Below are 27,608 nucleotides of genomic sequence, written 5' to 3'. Positions count from 1 at the left end.
TGCTCAAGATGTGGTCACCCAGAGCTTGTACGTACTCATACACACACTAGGCATACCACACGCTTACACTTATTACCAGCTATTTTTTCCAGTTCCAGATTGGTACCCCCAACTTGGGCTTGGGGGAAACACCTGGATTGTAGGGTAGGGCAACTGGTGGTATTGACTTTCAAGGGCCAGATAAGAGCCTATGTCAAGAAAGGAATCTCTTGGGGTGCTGCCTCTGCCTACTGTTGCCTTATCCCTTTCTCTATGGAAAGGCTACCAAGGACATTGTACTTGTGTATGGAAATACCTCTGGCTCTTTCTAAAACATTTGCTGTCTCACGCACATTTCAAGATTAGCTGCTAGTTGAATATATCCAGGACAATTTCTGTTACATTGCCCCAAAGCCCTGGTAACCATGTAAATTTTATGACACGTGCTTATGTCAATCACAGTGGCTAAAAAGTGTTCTTAGATCCTAGAGGACTATTGTGGTTTTAACCAGTGCTCCATAAAGGCAGCCATCTGCTCAGGTTTTACCTATTTTCATCATTCATGTTTAATGGGACATAAGATTTTTCAATGATTTCGACCATATTAATAGGTTCAGGTAGAATGAAGTAGTTTAATGAGCCCACAGCATTCTTTTTTACAGCATTAGTGGTTAACTCTGGTCTGGACAAATTTCAACTTCAGTAATCACACTCCACCTACCTAAATTCTTCCCAGAGTTTCAGCATTTCCACTTTAGATTTCATGCCCCTCTGGACCCTGTGTAAATAGCTTTACTGCTTCCGAGGGCAAGTATGGGCGTGTAGGATGAAGCAGTGCCCCTCTGTTGCTGGGAAATACTACCCTATCTAAGGGGTCCTATCAGTGTGAGGTAAGGAGAAGTCTGCGGTGGAGAAGTCACACCGGGATTCAGAGCTGCCAGCCAGGACAGCCAGTGAATGACTGCCCATTCAGAGAATGGCTTCTCCCACTTCCTGCAGCTTCAACCACATAAGCCAAGATAAGTATGGGTTTGGGTTGGGTAAGCTCTCATAGCTTCCCATCTGTATGCTCAAGCTTTTCACCTACAGGAGGAAGAAATGAATGGGAGGATGCAAGTGAGGAAAGCCCTGGATATACTATTTTTGGCTACTGCATTAAAAGGCCTGCCTTGACACCTGTAGCCCCATGGGACAATCTCGTGTTCAAACCTCAAACTTGTTGGAAGAACTCTTTCAAGAATTGGAGGGAATCACATTAGGTCTCAAGCACTGTTCTGAAGCCAATCTACATCCTCACCCCAAGCGCTTGGTTACAACCTTGTTTAGAAATGACCCCTTAATAAAAATTGCTGTGTATATAATGGGATATTATTCAGCCATAAATAAGATTGAAATCCTGTCATTTGCAGCAACGTGGATCAGCTTGGAGGACATTATGTTAAATAAGCCAGACACAGGAAGGTAAATACCGCATGTTCTCACTCATGTGCGAGCTAAAGAAGTTGATCTCATAGAAGTGGAGAGTAGAATAGTGGTTACTAGAAGCTGGGAAGGGTTGGGAGAGTGAAAAGGGAGAGGTTGGTTAAAGTAGGGATCCCCAACCCCCGGGCCGTGGACCAGAACTGGTCCGTGGCCTGTTAGGAACGGGGTTGCACAGCAGGAAGTGAGCAGTGGGCAAGCAAGCATTACCGCCTGAGCTCCACCTCGTGTCAGATCAGTGGTGGGACTAGATTCTCATAGGAGCATGAACCCTATTGTGAACTGCACATGTGAGGGATCTAGGTTGTGTGCTGCTTATGAGAATCTACTGCCACCCACCCCATCCGTGGAAAAACTGTCTTCCATGAAACCGGTCCCTGGTGCCAAAAAGGTTGGGGACCACTGGGTTAAAGGATAGAAAAATACAACTAGACTGGAGGAATAAGTTCTGGTGTTCTATAGCACTGTAGGGTGTCTATAGTTATGAATTTAAGATATATCTTTGTATAACTAGAAGACAGGATTTTGAATGTTCCCAACATAAAGAAATGATAAATGTCTGCAGTGACACATATGCTAATTACCCTAATTTGACCACTATACATTGTATGTATTGAAACATCACTGTGTCGCTCATAAATATGTACAATTTTGTATCAATTAAAAAATTAAAAATTACCTCTTAATGTATTATGTTTGGAAGGTACTGACTATATATATCTCAAATTGTTTAAATGGACCCACCCAGAGAGCCGGTGGAGGGTGCAGCTATACGTAAACCAACACTGACCTGCACTTACAGCTTTCCATCATGACAGATGATTACTTAATTTGACAGAGGTGAGATGTAGAGTATGCTCTCTGTCTGCAGCACACAGCTGGGCAGTGGCTGAATTACATGCCTCCGTGCTCACCAACTGCCATGGCATCTTTGAGCTCATGCTCCCATTCTAAAAGGACACATCCAAGTCACAAGGGGCGGGTAATTTGTTCCCCCTTTAGTCTCCCTCCATGGTGGGAGAAGCTCTTTGTTTTTTACTCAGAATCTTAGTTGGCACCTCGTTATGTTAAAAATCAGATTGAAAGAACTATTTCATCGCTATTAAGCACAAATGTATACAAGCTACTTATTAAGGAGAACGAGGTTGTTTTGATAACTATAAAATGTTGCAACTGGGTTGAATGAATAGTCTCAGCGGTCTATTTCTATGTTTTAGCTCTACAACAACAAGAAGGTCCTGATTTGCACGGAGATCAGATTAATTTTATGAAAGTGTGTACATATAGGTCTAAAGTGTAAAAACCCAGCACAGTCCACAGCTATCTGAAGCTTACAAGAAGTTCGGGCAGGAGAAGCATAAAACTCCTGAGGTTTGAAGACAAGTAAGTAACCTGATGGCTTCTGCTAACCCACTGGTGGTCTTCAGTTGCCATTCTGTATATAACTAACTTACCAGGTGTTGTTAAGTGTTTTTTGTTTCTGTTTTTATTATCACAGTTTCAAAATATTATGTATTTCAACACACACGTATTTTTTGAATTAAATGTTCATAGAGGGCCGGGCACAGTGGCTCACGCCTATAATCCCAGCACTTTGGGAGGCCCAGGCAGGCAAATCACCCGAGGTCTGGAGTTCGAGACCAACGTGGCCAACATGGCGAAACCCTGTCTCTACTAAAAATACAAAAATTAGTCAGGCATGGTGGCGCACGCCTATAATCCCAGCGACTCAGGAGGCCAAGGCAGGAGAATCGCTTGAACCCAGGAGGCAGAGGTTGCAGTGAGCCGAGATTGCGCTACTACACTCCAGCCTGGGCAACAGAGCAAGACTCCATCATCTCAAAAAAAAAAAAAAAAAAAGTTTATGGAAACTTGGGGCTGTTCCGACAGAACCCCAGGATCCCACAGGACAATCAAAACCACTGCTGGAGCCTCAACATGCCCAGTTATTTTGAGAGCTTTTGGGAAGCCATCATTTGATGAAATGACAGCTTTTTTTTTTTTTTTTGGCCTTTTCCTCCCAAATGTCAGGCTCAACATGATCCATCAATATTTATTGAGTGCCTGTCCCTCCAGAGGCATGGCACCTTGCTTGGTTACAGAATGAATATAGTATAATTTTGTAAGATAAATTAACAAACAGTCCACTCTGGGCTAAGAGTTGTAAGGAGCATATGAGTTTGGTCTAGTTGGGTAAAGTCCTTCAGACTGGGGCCCAGGTAACATTAGGGTTTTATAGGGTTTCACTAAATAGCTTCCACCTCAGTGGCATTAGAACATAGTTGTAACTGCCCCTGTTGAGAAATTATATTTCTTTGCACTCCAATATGTCAGCACCAGAAGCCACCCCATACTGGACATGATCATAATTTCTTGAGTGGAGGAGACTTTCTGTTCCCATAATGTGGCTCTCTTGCTCCTTAGCAGGAATATGCAAGGTGGCTGGAAGAGAAGTGATGTGCTTGTATAAGAAATAGGTTTGGACACACAGAATGGCATTGGGTGGCTGCGAGTTGTGTTCTTTACTGTGAAGCTGCCCTCTCAGAGGCATTGGGCCCTTCCTATGATGAGGCGATAAGAAGAGACAGAGAGAGGCTAGGACTCTAAGAGGCTATCTTGAGGCCTGAAGAGGAGAAGACAGTTTATAGTATGTTTACTGGTTGAAAAATTACCCCACAGAGAAAAAAATCCATTCATGAGGCAGAAGGAAAGAATAGTAAGAGTAAACTACATGGAAAGGAAAATCGGAGTAACTTTCAGAATCACTAGCTATGCATAAAGGACAGGAAGGCAGTATTAAATGTGGGCTCTTGTAAAGCAGGAAGCGCAACTTGTATACAATAGAATGTTTAAATCACATTTTAACTGACAGGAAGCTGCTGAGAGTTTCCAAACATCAGGCAGATATTGAAACTAAGAGCTGCTATAGTCACTTTCCATCTAAATGGTATTTTGGAATGACCCAAGGTTACCATATGGGTCAACATGTATAAGTGGGTTTCTGTGTATCAGCATAGGAGATGGGGGCTGGCCAAACGGCTGGATGGAACAATCATATTCCCCACTCCCACATATCCTAGCAGAATGGAAAGGGTGTCTTGGACTGGACAGAGTGGGAAACCCCCATCATTTTGAGGGACAGTGCTGGTGTGAGTAATGCAAACATTTCCCTAAGCTTTCTCTACTTCAGACATCCAAATGAATTTCAGGAACTCTGCATGAAGACATTGCCACCCTGCTGGCATATGCCTCAGCAATGGTCTCTTTCCCAGAATTGTGGTCGGGGCAGATGTGGGTAGCCATAGTGACCTGTGTACATGAAGTCATGCTCCTTGGTGAATTGGTTCTTGTTTATCTGGCCTAGCATATCTTGTGGTCTGTGGTACTCATGAATGATGGGGCTTAAAAGGGAAACATGGGGTTAATCCAGTTGTTGGATCCAAATAGGATGGGATTGTTCCTGTTGGGTAGATGGGTCTAACTGGCCCTGCAGCCTTGGAGAAGGTCAAATAGACATTGCTAATAAATAGTCAGCAGTAGGCTGGGAAAGTGCAGGTAACATCCTTTGCTCTAGGGAATGTTACACAGTGGGCCCTGCAAGCAGGGTGCACAAAGCACTTGAAAGTGAAAAAGAAACACCTTTATTTTCAACCTCCCTCCATTTTTTGGACATTTTTATAGGAAAATTCATATAACATACAATTAACCATTTTAAAATGCACACTTCGGTAGTTAGTGAATTCACAATGTTGTGCAACCCCTGGCTCTCTCTAGCTTTAAAACTTTTTCATCACTCCATAAAAACACCCCACACCCATTAAGAGAAGTCACTCGCCAAGTCCCACCCCCAACCCCTAAGTAACCTCTAATCTTCCTTCCATCTCTCTGAATTTACCCATTCTGGATGTATCATATTAATGGACTCATATAATATGTGATCTTTTGTGGCTTCTTTCATTGAGTATGTTTTCAAGGTTTATCCAAGTTGTACCAAGTTTTAGTACTTTGTTCCTTTTTATGGCTGAATAATATTTCATTGTATCATGTAACACAGTTTGTTTATCCATCATAATGGATATTTGGATTGCTTCCACCTTTTGGCTCTTAGGACCAATGCTATATAAACATTTGTGTACAAATTTCTGTGTGAACATATGTTTTCATTTCACTTGGATATATGCTTAGGAGTGGAGAATTACTGAGTCATGTGGTTATTCTATCCTTAACTTTTTATTTATTTATTTACTTATTTGAGACGGAGTTTCACTCTTGTTGCCCAGGCTGGAGTGCAATGGCACGATCTCGGCTCACTGCAACCTCCGCTTCCTGGGTTCAAGTGATTCTCCTGCCTCAGCCTCCTGAGTAGCTGGGATTACAGGCACCCACCACCACGCCCAGCTAATTTTGTATTTTTAGTAGAAATGAGGTTTTACCATGTTGGTCAGGCTGGTCTTGAACTCCTGGCCTCAAGTGATCCACCTGCCTCAGCCTCCCAAAGTGCTGAGATTACAGGCATGAGCCACCGCACCCAGCCTACCTTTAACTTTTTGAGGAACTGCCAAACCATTTTCCAAAGTGGCTGTACCATTTTATGTTCCCAGTAGCAAGGTATATGGGTTCCTATTTCTCATCCTCACCATCATTACTTTTCTTTTTTTGATTAAAGCCATCTTAGTGGATGTGAAGTGGCATCTCATTATGATTTTGATTTGTATTTCCTTAAAGATCATTGATATTGAACACTTTTTCATGTGCTTATTGGCTATTTGTATATTTTCTTTGGAAAAATGTCTATTCTAGTACTTTGCCCAGTTTTTAATCAGACTGTTTGACTTTTATTATTATTTTTTGAAACGGAGTCTCACTCTGTCTCCAGGCTGGAGTGCAGTGGCATGATCTCGTCTCACTGCAACCACCATCATCTCCCGGGTTTGAGCAATTCTCCGGCCTCAGCCTCCCGAGTAGCTGGCACTACAGGCGCATGCCACCATGCCCAACTAATTTTTGTATTTTTAGTAGAGACAGGGTTTCTCACCATGTTGGCCAGGATGGTCTTGATCTCTTGACCTCATGATCCGCCCGCCTAGGCCTCCCAAAGTGCTGGGATTACAGGTGTGAGCCACCACGCCTGGCCGACTGTTTCACTTTTTATTGTTGAGTTGTAAGAGTTCTTCATATATTCAGGATATTAAACCATTATCAGATATATGATTTGCAAATATTTTCTCTCACTCTGTATGTAGTTTGTCTTTCATATTCTTGATAATATCCTTTGACGGACAAAAGTTTTTCATGTTTATGAAGTCCAATTTATCTATTTTTTTCTATTGTTGCTAATGTTTTTGGTGTCAAATCTAAGAATCCACTGCCAAATCTGAGATCATGAAGATTTACTTCTATGTTTTCTTCTATTAGTTGTATAGTTTTATTCCTTATATTTAGGTCTTTGACTTACTTTGAGCTATTTTGTATGTGTAGTGAGGTAGCAGTCCAACTTCATTCTTTTGCATGTGGTTATCCAATTGTCTCAACACTATTTGTTAATACTATTCTTTCCCCCATTGAATGTTCTTGGAATCCTTGTTGAAAATCAGTTGACCATAGAGGTCTGCGTTTATTTCTCAATCTTATTCCATTGCTCTATATGTCCACCTTTATGCCAGTACCACACTGTTTTGATTACTGTAGCTTTGCAGTGAGTTTTGAGATCAGGAAGTGTAATCCTACTTTGTTTTTCTTTTTCAATACTGTTTTGGCTGTCCAAGGCCCCTTGAGTTTCCTTATGATTTTGAAGATTGGCTTTTCCATTGTTGCAAAAAAAAAAAAGGCCATTGGAATTTTGATAGGGATTGCACTGAAACTGTAGATGGCTTTGGAGACTATTGCCATTTGGATATTTTTTCTAATACATGAAAGCAGGATGCCTTTCCATTTATTTAGACATTTTAAAATTTCTTCCAGCAATATTTTCTAGTTTTCAATGTACAAGTCATTTACCTCCTTGGTTAAATTTATTACTAGGTATTTTGTTATTTTGGATGCTATTATAAAGGAGATTGCTTTTTTTTTTTCATTTTATTTTCAGACTGTTTATTACTGGCATTTAGAAACATAACTGATTTTGTGTGTTGATCTTATATGCTACAATTTTGCTGAACTCATTTACTGGCTCTAGTAGTTGTTGGTGTGTGTATTCTATGGGAATATAGTCATATTATCTGCAAATAGAGATAGTTTTACCTCTTCCTTTCCAATTTGGATGCCTTTTGTTTCTTTCTCTTGCTTAACTGCTCTGGCTAGGACTTTCAATACTATGTTGAATAGCAGAGATAAACATAAACATCCTGGTCTTGTTCCTGATCTTAGGAGAAAAGCTTTCAGTCTTTGTCTATTAGGTATGATGTTAGTTGTGGGTTTTTCGTAAACGCCCCTTTATCATGTTAAGGCATTTGCCTTCTACTCCTAGTTTGCTGAGTGTTTTATTATGAAAGGGTATTAACTTTTGTCAAATGGTTTTTCTGCATATATCGAGATGATCGTGTTCCCACCCCACCCCCTACTTTGTTCTATTACTGCGGTGTACTACATTGGTTGATTTTCTGACATCAAACCACCCTTAAGTTCCTGGAATAAATCCCACTTGGCCGTGGTTTGTTATCCTTTCAAACAACCAACTATTGGTTTCATTGACTCTTTTTCTTCTATTATCTATTTCATTTATCTCTGCTCTAATCTTTATTATTTCATTTCCTCTGCTGGCTTTAGGTTTCGTTTGCTTTTCTTTTTCTAGTCCCTTAAGGTGTAAAGTTAGAGTACTGGTTTCAGATCTTTCTTCTTTTTTAATGTAGGTGTTTACAGCTATAAATTTCCCCCTGGGCACTGCATTCACTGTATCCCATAAGTTGTTGTATGTTGTATTTTCATTCTCATTCATCTAAAAGCATTTTCTAATTCCCCTAGTGATTTCTTCTTTGACACTCATTGGTTCTTTAAGAGTATGTTCTTAATTTCCACACATTTGCAAAATCTCCAGTTTTTCTCATTATTGATTTCTAGCTTTGTTCCATTTGATCAAACATACTTTGTATAATTCCAGCATTTTAAAATGTTTTAAAATAATTGTTTTATGGCCTAATATATGCTCTAACCTGGAGAATATCCCATGTACACTTAAGAAGAATGCGTATTGTGCTGTTGTGGGGTATAGTGTTCTGTATGTTTATTGGATCTAGTTGGTTTACAGTGTTGTTGAACACTATTTCCTTACTGATCTTCTGTCTAGTTGTTCTATCCATTGTTTAATGTGGCATACAGAGGTCTCCAAATATTGTTGTAGAACTGTCTACTATTTGTTTTTAATTCCATCAGTGTTCACTTCATATATTTTGGAGCTCTGTTGTTTGATGCATACTTGTTTATCATTGTTATATCTTCTTTATGAATTAACCCTTTATCAGTAAAAATTTCCTTCTTCATTTTTATGACAATTTTTTACTTAAACTCCATTTTGTCTAATATTAGTGTAACCATCTCAGCTCTCTTGTGGTTACTATTTGGATAGAATATCTATTATTTTAATCCTTTCACTTTTAACCTGTATCTTTGGGTCTAAACTGAGTGTCTTGTCAGTAGCATATAATTGGATCATGTTGTTTTTTAATCCATTCTGCCAATGTCTGTCTTTTAATTGGTGAGCTTAATCCATTTACATTCAAAGTGATTACTGATAATAAAGGACTTGTGCCATTGTGCTGTATATCTTTTTTTGTTCCTCAGTTCCTCCTATACTGCCTTCTTTCGTGTTTGATGTATTTTTTTTTGGTAATATCCACTTTGATTCCCACTTCATTTCCTCTTCTCTCTATTTTAGTTATTTTCTTAGTGGTTATCATGGGGATTATAGCTAACATCCTAAGTTTATAACAATCTAGTATGATCACTCCCATTTTTTTCCTTTTCATTTTAAATATACTTTATTTTTCAGAGAAGTTTTAGGTTCACAGCAAAATTGAGCAAAATGTATAGACAGTTCCCCCATATTTCCTATACACCCATCACACACACAGCCTACCCCACTATCAACATCCTGTATCAGAGTGGCACATTTGTTACAACTGATGAACCTACACTGATACATCATTATCATCCAAAGTCCAAAGTTTACATTAGGGTTCACTTTTGGTATTGTATATTCTATGAGTTTTGACAAATATATAATGAAATGTATCCACCATTATAGTATTACACAGAATAGTAGTCTCATTGCCCTAGAAACCCTCTGTGCTTAGCCCATTCATCTCTGTATCCTCCTAACACCAGGCAACCACTGACCTTGATCACTCCTTTTTAATAATCATAATAGCTAACATTTATTGAGTGCTTACTGTGAAGAACCATGTTATACACTTTTCAATAGCCTTATGAGTTTCCCATTTTACAGAATAAGAATCAAGTTCAAAGAAGTTGTCACTTATCTGAGGCCACGTAGCTGTGAAGTGGCAAAGCCAGGATTCAAAAAAAGTTTGTCAGGCTCCAGAGACTGAGCTTTTTCCCATTCACTGTTGTCTTGATGAGGATGATGATGGTGACAATGGTGGTGGTAATGGTTGTGGTGATGGTAGTGGTGGTATCTAACAAATGTGCTGCCAGGTACTGTGCCAAGTGCCTTATGTGCCTTTTCTATTCAATCCTCACAATAGCCTATGAGGTAGATGCTATCATTATTGCCATTTTGTAGATGAGCAAACTGAGGCTCAGAGGTTAGTTAACAATCTCAAATGCACAGAACCTACTGAGTGGCGGCTAGTGACTACAACTATAATTGAAGATTTTATTTTGACGATCTGCTATCTCTCTTTAGCTCTGAAGATGGCAAAGGTGTAGGACTAGGCCTATCCCTGAAAACTGATTGGTTGGTTTGGTTTTTGAAGTTCAAAATCCAGGGACTTAGCCTTGATATTATTTGGTTCTTTTACAAGCATACATGAGTTCTGACGGCAGTGCTCTCCTATGGGCAAATCTGACTCTGCCCTTGGCTGTCCAGCCTTAGTCATTGTCTTTCTAGTCAGGGGAGGACCGCCCTCAGGCTTCTGGGTACACGACTAGATCTCAGAAATAGCACCCTAATCGGCCTCATCAGCTTTGAAGGAAGCCACTGCAGGAGGGGCCTAAGTAGGCCAACACTTTAACCCAGTTACGTGAGGGCAGCTGTAATCCAGGCTGATCATGTCTTGCTAAGCTCTCTGGGGGAGAAATGTCCAAAAGCGGCTTCCTGTGACCAAGTATCCCTAGATCTCACTATGCAGACACTCCTCTTCCCTTCTGGAAGAGGTTGGCCTAAAGGTTACAAGGGCAGAGCTTAATTTGAGTGACTGCCAGGACTGAGGGGATGTTGGTGGCAATTCCTAACTGCAGTGAAATGCCCATGGCTCAGGGTGCCCTAGGACAAAGTGCTGCTTTTCCTTGAAAGGCTTACTACCTGACTCTTCTTCCACCTTGTTGGAGGAGGTAGGGAAATCATTGTGTTCTTCTGCATGGGCCAGACAGCCACTCACATCAACCCAGGGAGTTCAGGACACATTGGGCTTCACACCCCCACCCCTACTTCTGCCAGCTCACCTCACCTCTGGCAATGACTAGCCCTAGGAGTTCCCCAGGGAAGCAGGCTGAGTTGTCTGGCCAGGCTGCTGTTGGGGAAAGAAAGAAACCAGAGCTATTGGGGCTGGCTGGCCTAGCTTGTCTGACTCCTTCCCTGTCATTTGGCACGGTGGGCTCCCTTATGCAGGTATACTCTGCCTCTTCCCTCTCATGTCCCACAAACCATCTGTCCCAAGAGAGAGCTCAACAAAGTGGGTCCCCTTCTGGTCAAGAAGCAGAAGCCTTGCCTGGCCTGGGTGGATGCTGGCAGGGAAGAAAAAGAGGAGTGTTAGAATGAGGCTGTATGCTAAAAGTCTGTATATTTTTCCAAAAGGGTTTTCTCTAGCAAGAAGATGACTTTCATGGGAGAAGAGGAAGAGGAGTCTAAGTTAACAATTACAGTATTTCATTGACTCTAATATGCCTTAGATTATAAGATGTCTGTTATTTTATATACTGCTGAAAAAAAAAGGTGCTGATTAAACTGTCATGCCACTGATTTTAAGATGCATTCCAATTTTAGTGATGTTAAAATGTGAAAAAAATGTGTCTTAGAGTCCATGAAATAAACTGAGGTATCACCTGTCCTACACACAAACACCCACTCACATACACACCACAGACCGCAACCACACAGGGCACATTAAGGCAGAGTGGGTATGAGTGCAGTCAAAACCCCAGCTAACCTCTGTGCTCTGGGAACAAGCATAGTAACCAAACTGTCTGGAAATAGGAACCCCTTCCACTGGACAGAACTTTATAGAGCCCTCTCACACCCACTGGTCTCACTGGATTCCTCATAGATGTCCTGTGGGGTAAGCTAGACAAGGATATTTACTACTATTTTACAAATGGAGTTCAGGAAAGGTATGACTTTGCCAAGGGCACTCGGGACCTGAAAGGGAAGAACTGGGAGAGCAGGCCCTGCCTGCTCAGTCCTGCTACAATGCTGGTTTGACTACTACAGGACAACAACTATTATTTAGGGAAAGGATAGAGACATAACTACTGAGGTTGTAAATAAGTAACTTTTAACTCCTTTTCCCAACAAAGTTATTTCCAAAACCTCAATATACAAAACAGAATAAAATTGGAGTTGTTCTGGGTGAAGCCAGGGAAAAGGCCAGAGCACCACCCACTCTACTCCGATGCATCCCCCGCTGCCTGAGGTGGCTTCTGAGGCACCTCTCCAGCAACCCTGAGGTGCTGAGGAAGAATCTGTACACCTCTGGAGCAAGGGGGCTTCAACTGTATTGGTAATGTTCTTTTTTAAGCTGAATTTAGGTATTATTCTTGATACCTTTTGGTATATCTTAAATATTTCCTTTTTTAAAAAGGCACTGCTATAGACGGTCAGGTCAAAGAGATGACTCAGAACCGGCCTGGAAACTTGAAAGCAAAAGAAGTTTGCTTTGAATTATGAGCTTGGGTGAGGCCTGGGGACTGAGATTTTTAAAGCTCCCCAGGGGATTAATGAGCAACAAAATCGACAGTCCACTGTACTAGAGGTATCTTGTTAGCGCCGACACGCTAGAAATCTGAGTGTATGTCTTGGAATGCACAGGAAGATCCCTCTGTTCTCAGGGGACAGAATACTAGAGAGCCCAAGGTCTTTCTAAAAATGCAATACTAAAAAGCATGAGCCTCCTGAGTATAGAGAAGGGACAACAGTGGCAGGTTGGCATCACCTGGGCAAGCCCCTTGGATGGAGAAGGGAAGTGTGGAAGGGAGCAGAGAGGCCTGCTGGCTGGAGCAGTGATGGGGCTGAGAATAGGTTGTTGGACAGGAGAACAGCTCTGTGACTCATGCTACTGGCCCTGTTTCCTAGCACAGATGTGTCAAGGAAGCATCCACCCCCACTGCAAAGACCTGCCTCAGTGTGAAATGCAGAGATTACCGGCTGGCTGGGATGCAGGAGTTATTGAAAGTTAGGAAGTCAGCTGTGGAGGGCATCCATTAGCCACAGGAGAAGCCTCTCCCTACTGCCTCCCTGGCTCTTAAACCCCTTTGCCCAGCAGCTCAGACATCCCAGGTGTGCAATTCAGATGCGAGGCAGAGTGCTGACTGTGGGCGGGGCGGGGGGGTTCAGGCAGTAACAGAGTCCTTGACTTTAGACTACATTGGCCTTGCCTGTTGCCAAGGTTAGCAAACCACACATCCTTTGATTAAACCATTGCATTTGTCAGGCTGACATCTGTGTATTTCTGTTCCTCCACTGGCACTGGCAAACCAGGACAAGGGAAAAGCTCATTGGGGGATCAGGTTGTAACCATCTCAAGCTGCTCCCTACCCCTCAGCGGGGTGGATGACACATTCCATGGGCTGGTGGGGCTTTTGCCATGCAGACACCAACTCTGTGTGCCTCCAGGGAAGGAAGGGGTGACCCTGGTGGTGATGAAGAGCTATAAAGGATATGGAAAAGCAGTTGGACACCTTGCCCAGAGGTCCAGGAAAGAGTCAGGTGAACAGTTGCTGTTGGTCTTAGTGCTTTTCCCTCACAATACTGCCTCCTTATCCAGGACACCAACTATATAGAGCCCTGCAGAGAAACAGGATGGGGCCCCTCAGCAAGAAGCTTGAGGTGCCTGGGCAAACAAAGGCATCCCAGCCCCATCCAGGAGAATTCATAGGATGGGCATGGCTTATGTAGCCTAGGGTTCTCCATCAGAGAACAGTGGTGCCTCCTACCATATTTTAGCACTCAGGTGTAAGATCCTTGTTCACGGAGCACTTTCCATGGAATGGGTCCTGTGCCAGGGGCTGGAGGATGAATCAGACCCCACCTGGCCCTCAAGGAGCTTAATGTCTACAGAGGGAGAGAGACCAGTAATGAATCACGTAAGAGGGAGGCAAATGATGGCCAGAGTTAGTACCAGGTGCTGTAGGAGCAAAGTGGACTGGCACCTAACATAGCCTGGGGCTCAGGGAAGACTGCAGAGAGGAGCTAACCTTTGAGTGGAGGCCTTAGGATGAAACGGGAGAGTGGGAAGCTGAGAAAACAGCACAAAGGAAACAAATGGCAAGGACCTGGGAAATGGCGTGGCATGCCAAAGGGGAGTACGATCCCGCTGGAGTGAAGTGTTTCTCTGCATGCTTCTTTTGGGAGTGTGGGGTGGAGGAGATGTAGTTGAAGATGCTTACAAAGCCCAGGGCTTGTATGCTACATGAAAGAGCCTGGGCTTTATATTCTAGAGCCAGTGGCCCAGGGAAGTGATGCAGATCTGCACTGGAAAAGACTGTTGCCTGCAGGAGGGAATACAGACTAGGGTGGGGATGGACATGGTGGTAGGGGCAGATGCACTGCCCAGGGTAGGGATGGCAATGGCCTATGTCATCGTCTTTCTTAGCTCTCTTCCTAAAAAGGAACCCATGGGGAAAGGACACAAACCAACTCTCCTCACCTCCTCTCCGCAGCCTCTTTCCATCCTTCCCCTTCACCTGGCCCCCTTTCTTCCTGTGCCTTTCAGGTCTGCTTTGAGGCTGCTGCTGACAGGCCTTGATTCCTCTGCTTTCTACACTCGTGGGCCTCCCCTTTCTCTCTCATCTTCCACACCACTGCCCGGCTCTCTTTCCACTTCTATAAGGACCAGGGGTCCCTGGGCAAGGGTCTACCCAGCAGTGCCAGCACACTGGAAAGGCAGTGGAAGCTGGTGGAGAGTGGAGAGCATGTGAGCTTTGGGGTCTAACAAAACTAGTTTCCAATTCCAGCTCCTCCATTTATGACTAAACCTCCATGTTCTCACTTTCTCCCTACCGTACAAGGACAGCATTGCCAGTCAGCTAATTGTACTTTGATGGGGATTCTAAGAGGTAATGGGAGGGATTTGGCTCCATGCCTGGTGTGCAGTTGGAGCTACTACTTTGCTGATTAAGAACCTGAGGCAGCAAGATAAGTGACTTTTCTAGGCTGCTAATCTTCTAGTCCACAATTGCAAGACCCTGCCTCATTCATAGCCTGGGTGCCCAAACACTGGCAAATGAGGAGATCCACCTGCACTGGCTGCCAGGTCTGGCTAGCTGTACAAAGACTGCCCAGGGTAGGGATGGCAATGGCCTAGGTCATTGTCTTTTTCAGCTCTCTTCCTGAAAAAGAACACATGGGGGAAGGACACGAACCAACTCTCCTCACCTCCTCCCCACCAGCCTCTTTCCGTCCTTCCCCTTCGCCATATCTGGCCCCCTTTCTTCCTGTGCCTTTCAGTTCTGCTACCCCTCCCTATCTGGCTACCTCTCCTCTCCAGAAACAGCAGCCCAGGTGAAAGCCTGAACAGGGCCTCTGTCCTGTGTAAAAAGGGCCAATCACAGTCATCATGGGCTGCTCAGCAGGTAGCCTTGGAAAAGCAGGTCTGCTTCCAAAGGGTAAGGCTATCTTGTTCATGGTCCGACCCATGCTGGGTGCAGGCCTGTGCTGAGAAGTGCTGGTGCAGAGCTGGCCCTCAGGAAATCTAGGTTGAGTGGGCCTGAATGTGTTTGCCTTCTCCAGCTCAGTCCTCCAGCCTAGCCCAATGCACTTTGGGTACCAGAGAGCCCAGCAAACGTGCCCGGCAGACAAGCCCTCTGCTAAGAGCAAATGGCCTGCTGGGTCCCTGGCAGAAGTAGGCAATGTGTGGGAATTCAAGGGCAACCAGCCACGCAGCTCCCAGGACAAAAGTGTGCTGAGAAAGCCCAGCTGTCCTTTGAGGGTCTTCCACAGTACGGAGGGCCAGAGGCCCCTTTTGTCTATTTTTCAAAGCAGAGGGCCTTCTGAGAGGGTTCTGGGAAGCAAGGCCAGGACTCCTGGGTTCTCATAAATCTTTTAATAACAGTAAATGAAGAAACATTATAACAGTAAGCCCCATGGTGAGGGTTCCTTTTCATTCAAGGATCTTCAACAACAGAAACACCTGAGACTAAAATTCAGAATGCTAAGTACACAAATTAATGACCATTTATTTCCAAAGGCGACTGCAGATACCATTTCGGTACAATCAAAAGGTTTTACAAGACAGAGAAAACACATTACAAAATGCCCCAAGAGGTGAGCAAACTGGTGGGGGCACAGAGCACGCAAGAACCAGCCTGACAAAAATCCTAAGCCTGCTGCTGTTTAGGGAGAGTACAAAGACTGGTTCTAAGGGAAGCCACTGTGTGGGGGTTCAGGGGAGACAGTGACGGGTCTGCCCAGTGCATAGCAATCCCAGCTGGGAACTGAGGAAGGACAGGGGTAGGGGAAGAGGGGCAGAGGCATTTGCTAAGCTCCTGACAGAAACCATTACAGATCAGCCTATCACATTCTCTTCACTACAATAACACCAATATAAATGAAAGATTCTTTAAAATAGAACACAAAATGGACACCAAAAGAAAGCAAGAGTTTTCAAAACAACAGCTTTGTTTGAAATGACTTTTGTTTTGTTTTATTTTTCATGGGGCTTTGTCTGTTTCTTGCCATGAGTAGCAAACCAGTGTACAAAAATGTCACAGACGAGAGCAACAAGCGACTAGGTTTTCCTGAGCCCAAATCAGCTCACTCTATATACACAAAAGGAGGGCTGCCTCCCTGTCACTGACTCTACCCGCCACAAAGCGGGCAGGATGGGCAGTGGGGGGAGCTCCTTCCCAGCCTGGGGCCTTGCCAAGGAGCCCACAAGGGCCTGCAGGAGACCCTCCATAATCAGCGTCAGTGTCTTGTCTAACAGCATCACACATGGTCCTTTTTTCCTCCTCCCCTACCTCCCCTTCAGTAGAAACCAGTAAGAAAATCCTCTTCAGGAGGGGACAGAGGACTCTGGGTCAACATCTACAAATCCAAGGAAGTCTTTTTGGCAGAGGGAAAAATGGCCCTTCTGCCACTCCCTGAGCCACCTAGCTTACCCCCAGGGCACTGCCCTGCCCCAATACCAGTGCACAGAGACCTGCTGACAACTTGCTCTCTGTGGGGAGCTGTGCCCACTTCATAGGACACTGAATTACCAATGATCACAAATATAAAAACCTCAACAGAGGCTACAGCAAAAGGGGTGATCTGACAGCTAGACTGAGGTACTGTACGGTAAAGTTCGCCGATCACCCTGGTTAGCCCGGCGACCCTGCAAGCAGCTTCTATGAATGCGATGAAGTTTGAGGAGAGAGAGAGAAAGAGATTGCTGACTTGGGGAGACTGAGTCTGTGGCTTCAGAACCCTGCATGCCTTCACAGGCTGACAGAGGAACATGTTACTGTTGTGCCTCTGGGAGGAAGATGGGCCAGATCATCTTTGGTGTACAAAACCAAATACTGAGGGCAGGGAGGACCAGAAGCAGGCGTGACTGGGTCTCTGCTATTTGGAGTGGATGCCACAAGTTGGCCAGCTCCACAGACTGTTCTTGGCCCACATCCCTGGCCAAGGCTACCTAGGGGCTGGAGGGAGTACTCTTTTCCCTTCCTAAGGCCATTTGAAAGGAAACTGCCCTCTTCTACAAACACCCTCACACACGCGCAGAGCTCCCACACGCTGGCAAATGGCACACGGAAACCTGGCTGGGGAACTGGCTTGGCACTGACAGGAAAGCCCTGAGGAGGAGCTGGGAAGACAGCCCCACTGGCCACTGGGTGTGCAAGCTCCAGCTTCTCCCTCACTCCTGTACCAAAGCTGGGGCAGTAGAGGGCCGGCACAGGGCAGATATGAGGGCTACCCTATAAGGTGGGCTACCCTGTAAGGCAGGCTGCCAAGAGTCTGGTTGGGTTGCTTCTCTCCACGTTGGCTTGGCCCAAGATAAGAGTGAGATCTGGACCAGTTCAGATGCCTTATGCTCCCCAATGCCCCAAATACAGGCCATGGCTCCTTGTGAAGCCTATAGACTGGGCCCCCTCTATTCTTTTGACCTACATGTTTCTGAGCCAATCTGGCCCCCAAAAGCCCTGCATGCCCCCTTTACTTCTTCCTTCCTCTGACAGGTGGATCTGTCTCTGGCTTGGCCATGCCAGGCATGTGGCTTTTGCTTTCTTCTCTCCTTCCAAGCACCAGAAAGTGCCCTCCAGAATGGGGTACTAAGCTGTAGACAGAGCAAAGGCAAGCTTGTGGAGGATGTCAACATGGGGAAGGCTCGAGCAACCAGGCAACCTGTGCCATGCCACAGAAACGAGGAGGAGGAGAAGGCCTACACAGTCACACCCCTATGACATTCCGGAGCTAGTCTTCAGCTGAGGCACAGATCCTCTGCTGGCAGCAACTCCAAGTTCTGGTGGAGGACAGACCAGGCCCCCAGGGGCTCCTCCCACAATCCCCTTCCAACTTCTCCTTTTGTAAAGAGGCCAAGGGGCACTGAGGCCTTGTGTATTTCCTCATCAGCTATTCCTACATGTAGCAGTTTGACGGTGGGCAGGGCCAATCCAGCCATTCAAGGAGCACCTTCCCTGGAGGGCCACCCTAAGGTGAGAGGCACTAAGAAAAGTTTGGCCCTGCCTTCAAAGAGGGCCAAAAACAAAGCTTACGCATCAAAAGGAGCTCAGGAGAGTAAGAGCACTTGGTGCCCTCCCCTCCTGCTCCCCAAGCCCTGGGGATTGATAGCCTCAATGCCCGCAGGCCTCTGCAGAAGGACGGTCCCTCCCAGGGTTGCTTCCTATAGGTCCACTTGCTAAAATTATGACCACTGAGGCACCGAAGCTCAGTGTAGGTCAAACACGGTCAAACTGGAAATACTGGAACTGGTCTAGGTCAACTGTGTTGCCTAGAGTGGGACAGGGGAAGGGAGGCTCATCAGACAAAATCACCAAATGAGCTTTTCTGTTCTTAAGCAAATCTGTTCCTAGTGGGAGTCAATGTGGAGTCAGCAATGCCCAGCCACTTCCTGCCTGCTTGAGGTCCGTGCATAACTGAGCTGAAGTCCTTCAACAAAAGCTCCTCCTTGTGGAGCACCTGAACCTCCACCCATGAGGACTTAATTCTTTGGCAGCCCCCTTTCAACCTAGACATGGGATTTGGGGGTAGACAGGATGAGGAGGACGTGATGTCCCCCACATTAAACAATTCAGCACTGAGTGTGGATACACTGAAGAAATCTGGCCCTAGGGAAACAACACTGGCCCTGTAAAACCAAGAAACAGATCTACAGAATCTTCCAGAAATGGGCCCTGATGCGAGGATTCTCCAAACTCAAAAACCAACCAACCAGCCAATTCCAGCTCATTCTTCCCTGAAGCTGCCTGAGAGAGGGAAAGAGGGAGGGAGGGGGGAGGGGGAGGGGTGGGGGGAGAGGGAAAGGGAGAGGGAACACATTTAAGGGGCACTCAAGATTAAAATGGTATCTATTATCAACATTTTCCTAAAACAGAGTGTATGATTCAAATCACAGTTTTCTGTGCTCACTTCTGATTGGGATATGCATCAGTTCTCAACTCTCACAGGCAGAACTTACACAGGGTCTGGCCTAGTACTGTATATATCTTGACCCTCTTCACTTTGGATTTGTCATTGCAATAGATCTCCAACCCTCTCAATGGAATCTAGCCCTTGGGCTGGGTGGTGCTCTCACCTCCCACCCCAGGCAGCATCCTGGAGGGAGTGGCTGGTTGGCTGTTTACTTTGAGTCATGGGACACCAGTGACCAGAATCTGGCTGGTTCTGTCTTGACCACGAGCTGTGAAATCCCTCGGCTCTGGGCTTGCCGCTGGTATAGAAACAAGGCCTCAGTCCCCCGTGGTAAGGGCTGTGCTGGAGACTAAATGGGACGCCAGCATAAGCCTGGAGGTCCCTGGCAGTGGAGAAATGAAACACAACCCAATCTCATTGCTTCGATGCCAAAAGAACTACTACTTGTTGTTCCCTTTCTCCTCAACCAGCTGTTGTTAAAGCACCGACAAGCAGAGTGAAAGAGCCGCTCACTGCAATCTCCCCATGTAAGGCCACTAGGAGCAGAGAGAGAGCCAAAGGGAAGGAGGAAAATCCAGCGCCCAGCACTACACCCCAGGCTCAAGGAGACATCGTAGGGGGAAGAGCTGGGAAAGGAAGAGTGGTAGAAGAAAGGGACAGAAAGGAGGAAAAAGAAATACACCAAACATCCTACTGCCCTCTCCCATGATTTTATCAAGAACTGGGTGTTCTCCAAGTCAAGTCACGACTTGCTTCCTCAGGGAGGAAAAAAAAAAAAAATAAGCACCTTCAGTCTATTTTCTTGGCTGGAAGCCGGAGCAAATCCAGCAGATATTTACACAAGGGCCCAGCCATGTATGAGAACAGGATGACCAGCTTCCCGTGGGTCATGGTCATGAGAGTCTGGTGTCCCGAGGCCCAGATGCGATACCAGGGGCCGTAGAATGGGTCTGAGATGGCCGGACACAGCATGTTGTTCAAATTCACTTCGGTGACCTGCAGGGACAAGGGAGGTAGAGTGAGCGTTCACCATCCTTAGGCTTTCTCTGGCTTCTGCCAGTTCAGCCATCTCTACCTAATGGGGGACTAGACAAGGAGGGATTGACCAATCCCCACCTGTTTATAAAGGGATTTCTTCTCTCCCCTCGGTTTTCTGAGTGAGTCAAGCTAGAGGCCTCTGGAGGTGATGGCGGAGGGCCGTCTAGTGGAAAAGCTATTCAGTTTTGCTCACGGTCTTGCCTTCTGTTTGGGCCCAGAACTTGTTGCCATTCCTGAGCATCTACTATGTGCCTAGACCCCGGAGAGGTGTTACAGGCTAAAAGTACAGCCCACAGCGTGGGCCCTGCCTCCACGTAACTGCAATCAATCAAGTGGGGGTGGTCAAAGGTTTACTACATCTGACCCCAAACCAGACAGGGCTCACCCAGCTTTATACACTATGAGGAGGTCTGAGGAGCATACAATATGGGGGCTGAGTCCTCAGAGAAGATTTCATGACAGAAGTGGTACCTGAATGGACTCATGAAAGATGGATGGGGGTTTATGGTGAGGAATGGGGTGAGGGTTGCCCTCCTTGTAGGAGGCGTTGCCTGAGCATGGTATGTAGGGTGACATGAGCACACTGATGCCTCTGGAATCTGGGTCCCAGTGGAGAGCAGCAAGTGGTAAGGGTGTGAACTTTGTACGGCTTCCTCCTGAGAGCGCAGGAAGCATTCACACTGTTGGCAAGGAGCTCAGACTAAGCCCCCAGCAAACCAGAGCAGAGCCATACACCAGAATGAGGAAGAGAAAGTGACTGCTTCTACAAAGGTGTTGGGGACATCAGTTACACGCCCTAGTCATGCTAGGTCACGCGAGGCTCCACATGGCTAATGCTACATTACTGCCACTTGCACACAAAACCAGACATGCGACACCTGCCCCGGGGACGGTCGCGGCACCTGCCTTCCAAAGCCCTTCAAGCCTGTTCACATTAAAGACAAGTCCTCACCACCTCTCAGGGAAGTTGGGGCTTTTATACCATGTCAAAGAGAGGTGGAGAACTCTCTGCCCTCAAGGGTGAGGTGACTCATTCAGAGCAGTGGCAGAGCCAGGACTTGAACTTGGGTCTCCTGACCCCCAGCCCCAGTCCTGAGCTCTTCCTACTCATTTTGCCACTGATATACACTCTTACACTCAGCAATTTTGGGCTCTGGATAACTCAGCTACTGAGTCCAACCATCCAACCATTCTTCATGACTCCAGGAAGTTCTAAACACCCCAGAATGCCACAGGATTTCCCCAACACCACACTTCACTGGCCATGAAGCTCAGGGAAGAGTGCAGCCTTCAGGGCCTATGAATGGGCCCAGGATGGACCCAAGGTCAGAAGACTCCCCCAGGCCAAGGGGCAGGGTTAGGGTCCTGCCTCCCCATGGGGTCCACAACAAACCACTTTCCAGTTGCAGCTCATTGTTTCCGACCCAAGTGGCCATGAGTGAAAGGCATCCTTGCCTCCCCAGGGATGAAAGAAACAGTCATTACTGAAAGACTCAGAAAACTCTTTGGAGAGGCCAAGGCTGTAGATCATAAATCAGCAATCCAGACACAACAATCTGACATCCTGGCCTTTAGCATCTTGCATTTTCAAAACAAAGTGATACGTCAGCACCAACCAGGATTACCAAGATTTATGGAGAACTGCAAACAGAGGGGATAGAAGGGGATATAACCAAACTTACCAGGCCGAGGATCTGCAAGACGCTGAAGTGATAAAAGAACATGAGGCCAGTTGAGAGAAGAGCCCACCGGAAACTGCTGAGGGGCTCTGGAGTGTAAGCACCTGGAGGAAGAGGGGAGATGGTGAGATGGCAGGAATAGTGACCCACTTCACCTTTGTACCATGAGGGTGCAGGTACTGAGGTCACAGCTGCTGCCTGATGACTGTTCCTTTTACTGATCACTGGCAACTACTCAAGAGACAGCCCCACTGATTAGCTGGGTACTCAACCCAGCCCCTTCCTGCCCTCTGTCCTGCCACTTATTTCTAGGGTCACTACAAAGAGAGGACTCTTTTTTTAATCATAAAAGTGGTATGTATTCATTAAAGAAAATTTTCACATGAGTTTGTCTCTTTGGTCATTTTCTCTGCCTCAGGATTTTCTTTTCTTTCTTTTCTAAATTAGTATTTGCAATCTTACTGTACACATAATTGTATACCCTTCATTCCCACATTTATTTCCTCGTGTTTCTAAAGAGAAATGTCATTGAGGAAGTATGGTGTAGTGGTTGAGAATGTTAACTATGAAGTTAGATTTGAGTTCAAATCTTGACTCTACCGCTTACGGGCCATGTGAAAAGTTGTTTAAAATCCTTGTATCTCAGTTTACTTGCCTGTAAAATGGGGACAATAGTACTACCTACTTCTTAGTGTTGAAGGAATAAATGAAACAATATACTGAGAGCTCTTAGTTCAGGGTCTGGTACAATGTAAGTGCTCAGTGAGTGTTAAATGCTGGCATTATCTTAATTATTATTCAAATAACTGAAGAATGTGCCAACTCTCCCCCAGGGATACCAAAAATGATATATTTTCCCTCTATCATTGCTAAAAAGTATCATCCCAGTAGGCCTGGATATATTCCACATCTTGGAGAATGGGGGCATGGTTTATAGGATGTTGTGGGTATCACTCTGAGTGGGAACTCAGAGTGGGGAATGCTGAAGAATGAAAGGGACCTGGAACCCCCACCCCAAGCAATTAGGGTTGACATCATATCCTAGACTATTATTTTCCCAAATCAGTCTTTCACTGATTCATCCATTCATTCAACAGTTATGAGGCACCTTGTGTATTCCAAGTCCTGTGCAAAGCTTTGAGGACAGGAAGATAAAGAAGGCAGGTTCCCTGCAACTGCAGACTCACAGTCAACAACTACAACACAGGGTAGCTGGTGGGATGACTGAGGTCTGCGCCACCTGTTATGGGAAAACAAAACTCAGCCAGGGGCACAAGGAATGCTTCTTGGTACAGCAAGTACTGGTGCAAAGCCCAGAAGGACAAATAGGACTTAAGGAGGGGCCTAGGAATTCCAAAGCACAAGCTTGCATGGAGACAGACAAGAGTGGGGCAATTCAGAGAACTATGGATAAGGGTTCCATGGGGCCACAGGGGAGAGTGTAACGGGGCAGTTAGCAGGTACTAGCCTCAGAGGTTCGCAGGGCTGGTCTGCTCCAGGCTGCGACACATAGGACACTAGAAGCCATGCTGAGGGCTTTGGGCTTCATCCCATGCACCAGGGTCATGAACTCAAATGCCCCAACTCTCAGGCAGATAATTGGAAGCAGGGGTGCGACCAGGGCCTAAGAGACACTAGGGGATGCTGGAGACTGTCAAACTGAAAAGCCCACACCCCTTCTAAAGAGGGCAACCACCACTCAGCTCCATCCAATCATTGCCCTGAAGGGATGTGCACCCAGAGTTACCAGTTCTTTTCACTTTTGCAAGAGAAGCCAATATATATGAACTTTTATGTGAAATTTCCTGATTTTCCAATGTTGGCGACTAATTCAAAATGTTTTAAGAACATTTTGGACCAAGCAAAACATGTCTTCTGAATGGATTTCAGCCCATGGGTGGCCAGCTTTGAGCTCTGCTGTAGAGTCACAGAAAGCAGAAGTTTTGAAGCAGTAAGGTGAGGTGATCACGTGTGTCTGCAAAGGATCACCCTGGCTGGTGTGCAGGGGATGGACTCAAGCAGACAGAGTCGAGGCAGGGAGGCTGGTAAGAAGATTGCTACAGGAGCCCAAAAAGAGAACAGGATGAATGGCCTTGGAAGGCAACAGCAGTGAGGCTGGAGGAGAGTGGGGGGAAAATCACCATGATGTGGAAGAAGATTGGAGAAGATTGTTGGGGAGATGGGGGTTGGTAAGGGAGAGGAAGGATCTTGGAAAACTCCCAGTGTTCTGGCTGGGGTATCACTGGGTTGATGGTGCCATTTATTGCCATGGAGAAGAGAGGAAAAGGCAGATTGGGACAGAAGGGAAATGATGAGGCCAAGTTTAGACATGAAATTGAGGTGTATGTGGAATATCCAAGTGGAAATGGGTCTTTGGCGGCTGCCTGTACTCTAGGACATATAGTGTGATGGATAAGAGCATGGGCAGTGGAGCTCAACAGGTAGAGGTTTGCAAATCCTGGCCCCATCACTTATCAACTTTGGGGCCTTGGGAAAGTCTCAGCATCTCTTGAACTCGGTTCTACTCACCTATAAAATGGGGTGGCACTGCCTAATTCACAATGTTGTTGGAGAGATGAGATGAGATAATATACCGTAATTACAGTATTGTATCTGGGATTTAGCAAATGCTGATTATTTTCATTGTTATATGAGTCACAAACTCAGTGGAGAGGATGGGGGCGAGCATGGAGATGTAGGTGTCATCAGCACACAGTGGTAACTGAAGTCATGGGAACATACGTAGAAAGAGAGAAGGAAAAGGCCAGAGGCAGAATGCCAAGGAAAACCATGTAAGGAGAGCATGTGGGCGAGAAGAGAAAGGAGACTTTCTTCAGTGACTAAAGTGGGGACCAGGGCTGGGGGCTCTTCTGTGGAAGAAGCTCAGGCTTGCTTTAGGCTCATGGCACATCTGAGTCAGAAGGCCCTTGCAGACATAGATATCATTCCCTCCATTTTATAGATGGAGAAATTCCAGGCTAGAAGATGGGCAATGTCACAGCCAAAGTCATAAGAGCGGAGCACTGGAGAAATGAACTCTCACGCACTGCCAGGGGACTCACTAGGGAGCTCAACGCTCCTGTTGCCACTTGTGAAGGCCTCCAGCACACAAGTTGGATTGTCTCTTCCCTTGTCTGTCCAACCCTCTAGACCAAGTGCATCTCAGGGTCAAGGACCATGTCAGGCCACTTCTGCATTCCTAGCATCTAGCACAGTGCTTGGTGCGTGAAAATGCACAGAGCTATGCCCTTAAGGCATGCACACATTCCTGTCTGCTGAATGAGTGTGGACTGGGCACCGTGTTGTCACCCTGGCTGCGGTGGGCATACAGGGGAAGAGGAGGCCTGGAGGACAGACAAGGGCTTAGGCTGCCACTCCTCCCACTGCTGGAGCCCCCAGTCCTGTTGTCCCGGGTGCCCCCTCCCTCCATCCTCTCTGCTCGGCGCCCCCTAGTGGCAGATGGGCAGCAGTGACTGAGCCAACAGGCGGTGGCAGGAAAGCCCGTGGGTGTTGGTGGGGGGTGTCCTCAGCCAGGAGGCAGCTCTGCAGCCAGCCCTGTTATCATGCTCCTCCCGTCTTGCCCCATGCTGCAGAGGGAAAGGAACACTCAGAGATACTACCAGGGGACACTGTTTCTCAGTGCTCTCACTGCCCCTTGCCCAAACCCCGACTTTAGTAGCATTCATTCTGTGCTGCATCATCCATCCCATACCAGACTGTTAGTTCTCTGAGAGAGGGGCTGTTTCTGAATTACCTCTTCACGTCCAGCACCTGGTACACAGTGGGCACTCCAAAAGTAATCACTGCTTGGGTGAATGAATGGTATAGACTTTCTGGAGAATCATAAAATTATAACTCTTTGCCTCAAAAATACTACTTTGCGGACCACCATCAAATACCTAAAAACTCCAACAAACCACCCTAATTTGCGCAAAGATATTTACACCTGCACTATCTATAATACTGAGAAACTGGAAACAAACCAAGTGGGGAGATAGTTACATAAACTATGGTACCTCAACATTGTGCAACAGAGTCCACTACCATTCAAATGACAGCCAAACTATGTATCTGTCTATGGCTGGTAATGGCAAGGACAAAAGACAAAACACCAGGCAGTACACAAATGGCAGAAAATACAGCTTAGTAGTTTAAAAACAAAGGCCTTGGGGCCATGTAGCCTTGGGTTTGAATCATGGCTCTGCCACTACCCATAGGAGTGACCTTGGGCAAATTGTGCTGCCCCTCTAAGCCTGTTTTCCTGCTGGTGGGCTGAGGGTAACATCTACCTCTAAGGGCTGGTGAGTGGAAAAAGAGAGATAAAAGTATATACGACAGCTATCCTGGCATGCAGATGGCTGCTGCTATTTTTTATCATGGCGACCACAACCATCCAAAATCTTATAAAAGACTAGAAGATGATGGGGCATCTTCTAAAGAGGTGATCTTCTCTATGAAGGAGGACTTCCACTATGGCTTCCATTGCCTTTCACTGTTACTGATTCTTTTCATTGAAAAGTTGATCAAGTATTCAATTTTTTTGAAAAAATAAAAAAAGAAAGTACTCTGAGAATAGATGATCCAGTCTACACAGATATATGCAAATTGTATGCAAACACATATCATTCTCTTTTCTGTATACCTGCATGTGGCCCTTGGGAAAATCCCAGTGAAAAACCAGTTTTCTTCTAAAAGAAAACAGAAACTTAAGCACTTTCAAAAAATTAAACATACAAAACCTTTTTCTCCTTTAAGAAAAAATGTGACATTTTTTGCTAGCATCTTATATCCCAGGAAGAGAGAAGCATGTCAGCTGTAAAGGTAGGGGAAAACCTAGATAATAGCTTTTTCTAAAATCAATTTCTGCCAGAAGCAAGTTTTATGAGTCCTGGGAAAGAAGTCAGTTGCACCAGCAGCAGCCAAGACTGATCCCCACAGGCCTCCCAGGGGCCCCTTTTCTCATCCTATAATCCCACCCATGAAGGACTTATACTAAGGAGATGAGACTGGGCAGTGTGACATCCCACTCTCTAATCTTCTTCCTGCTTCCTTCAACTCACTCACTTATTCATGGTACCCATTCACTCAACATCTACAGAGTCCACATTGGGAGTAAGACTCCATGCCAGACAGTGGAAAGAAGGAGGCAAAGATGGTGGTCCCCACTCTTGGGAACTACCTGCGTTTACAAGTGAATAATGCAATGGTGTAGTTAGGTAAGTGCATTAAGTAACAGGGACACTGAGGAAAAGTAGCTGGAGAAGATGACAGTTGAGGTGAGCTTTGCAGAACCAGAAGGGGTTAGGGTAGGGCCTTGAAGGAAGGAGAGGTTATAGCCTGAGAAAAGCTGTGGAGACATGAAACAGCATGCTGTTTGTGTGCAATTAGAAGGAGTTCTGCGTTACTGGAAAGGAGAGAACTTTGTGAGAAGGGACACATGTCAGGAGATGAAGCTGGAAAAACATGCA

General features: G+C 45.7%; 2 protein-coding genes across 21 annotated transcripts in view; both read right to left on the bottom strand.

Annotated features, from left to right (window-relative positions):
- The window catches only part of TMEM164 (transmembrane protein 164), a 181,883-nt gene continuing 163,687 nt past the window's right edge, over positions 9,413–27,608 (bottom strand). For 14 of the 20 annotated variants that reach the window (XM_047442570.1, XM_047442569.1, NM_001353851.2 and 11 more), the window contains 2 exons: positions 22,144–22,244; positions 15,876–20,419 (listed from right to left, as the gene is read on the bottom strand). In XM_047442570.1, the coding sequence (XP_047298526.1) occupies positions 20,213–20,419; positions 22,144–22,244 (308 nt within the window). In that variant the 3' untranslated portion in view covers positions 15,876–20,212. Of the gene's footprint in view, positions 11,359–15,875; positions 20,420–22,143; positions 22,245–27,608 lie in introns of those variants that run through there. The other 6 variants (NM_001353849.2, XM_047442566.1, XM_047442565.1 and 3 more) reach the window with 1 other exon arrangement.
- Positions 15,876–17,891, bottom strand: LOC124905230 (uncharacterized). The gene is made up of 2 exons (XM_047442708.1): positions 17,847–17,891; positions 15,876–17,748 (listed from the first exon to the last, which is right to left on the bottom strand). The coding sequence occupies exons 1-2, from the start codon at positions 17,889–17,891 to the stop codon at positions 17,266–17,268; spliced, it is 528 nt and encodes a 175-aa protein (XP_047298664.1). The 3' UTR covers positions 15,876–17,265.

This window comes from Homo sapiens, chromosome X (genome assembly GCF_000001405.40).
Source record: "Homo sapiens chromosome X, GRCh38.p14 Primary Assembly".
NCBI lineage: Eukaryota > Metazoa > Chordata > Mammalia > Primates > Hominidae > Homo > Homo sapiens.
The sequence above is the reverse complement of the archived record's forward strand: the minus strand, read 5'-3'. Positions and strand labels throughout refer to the sequence as shown.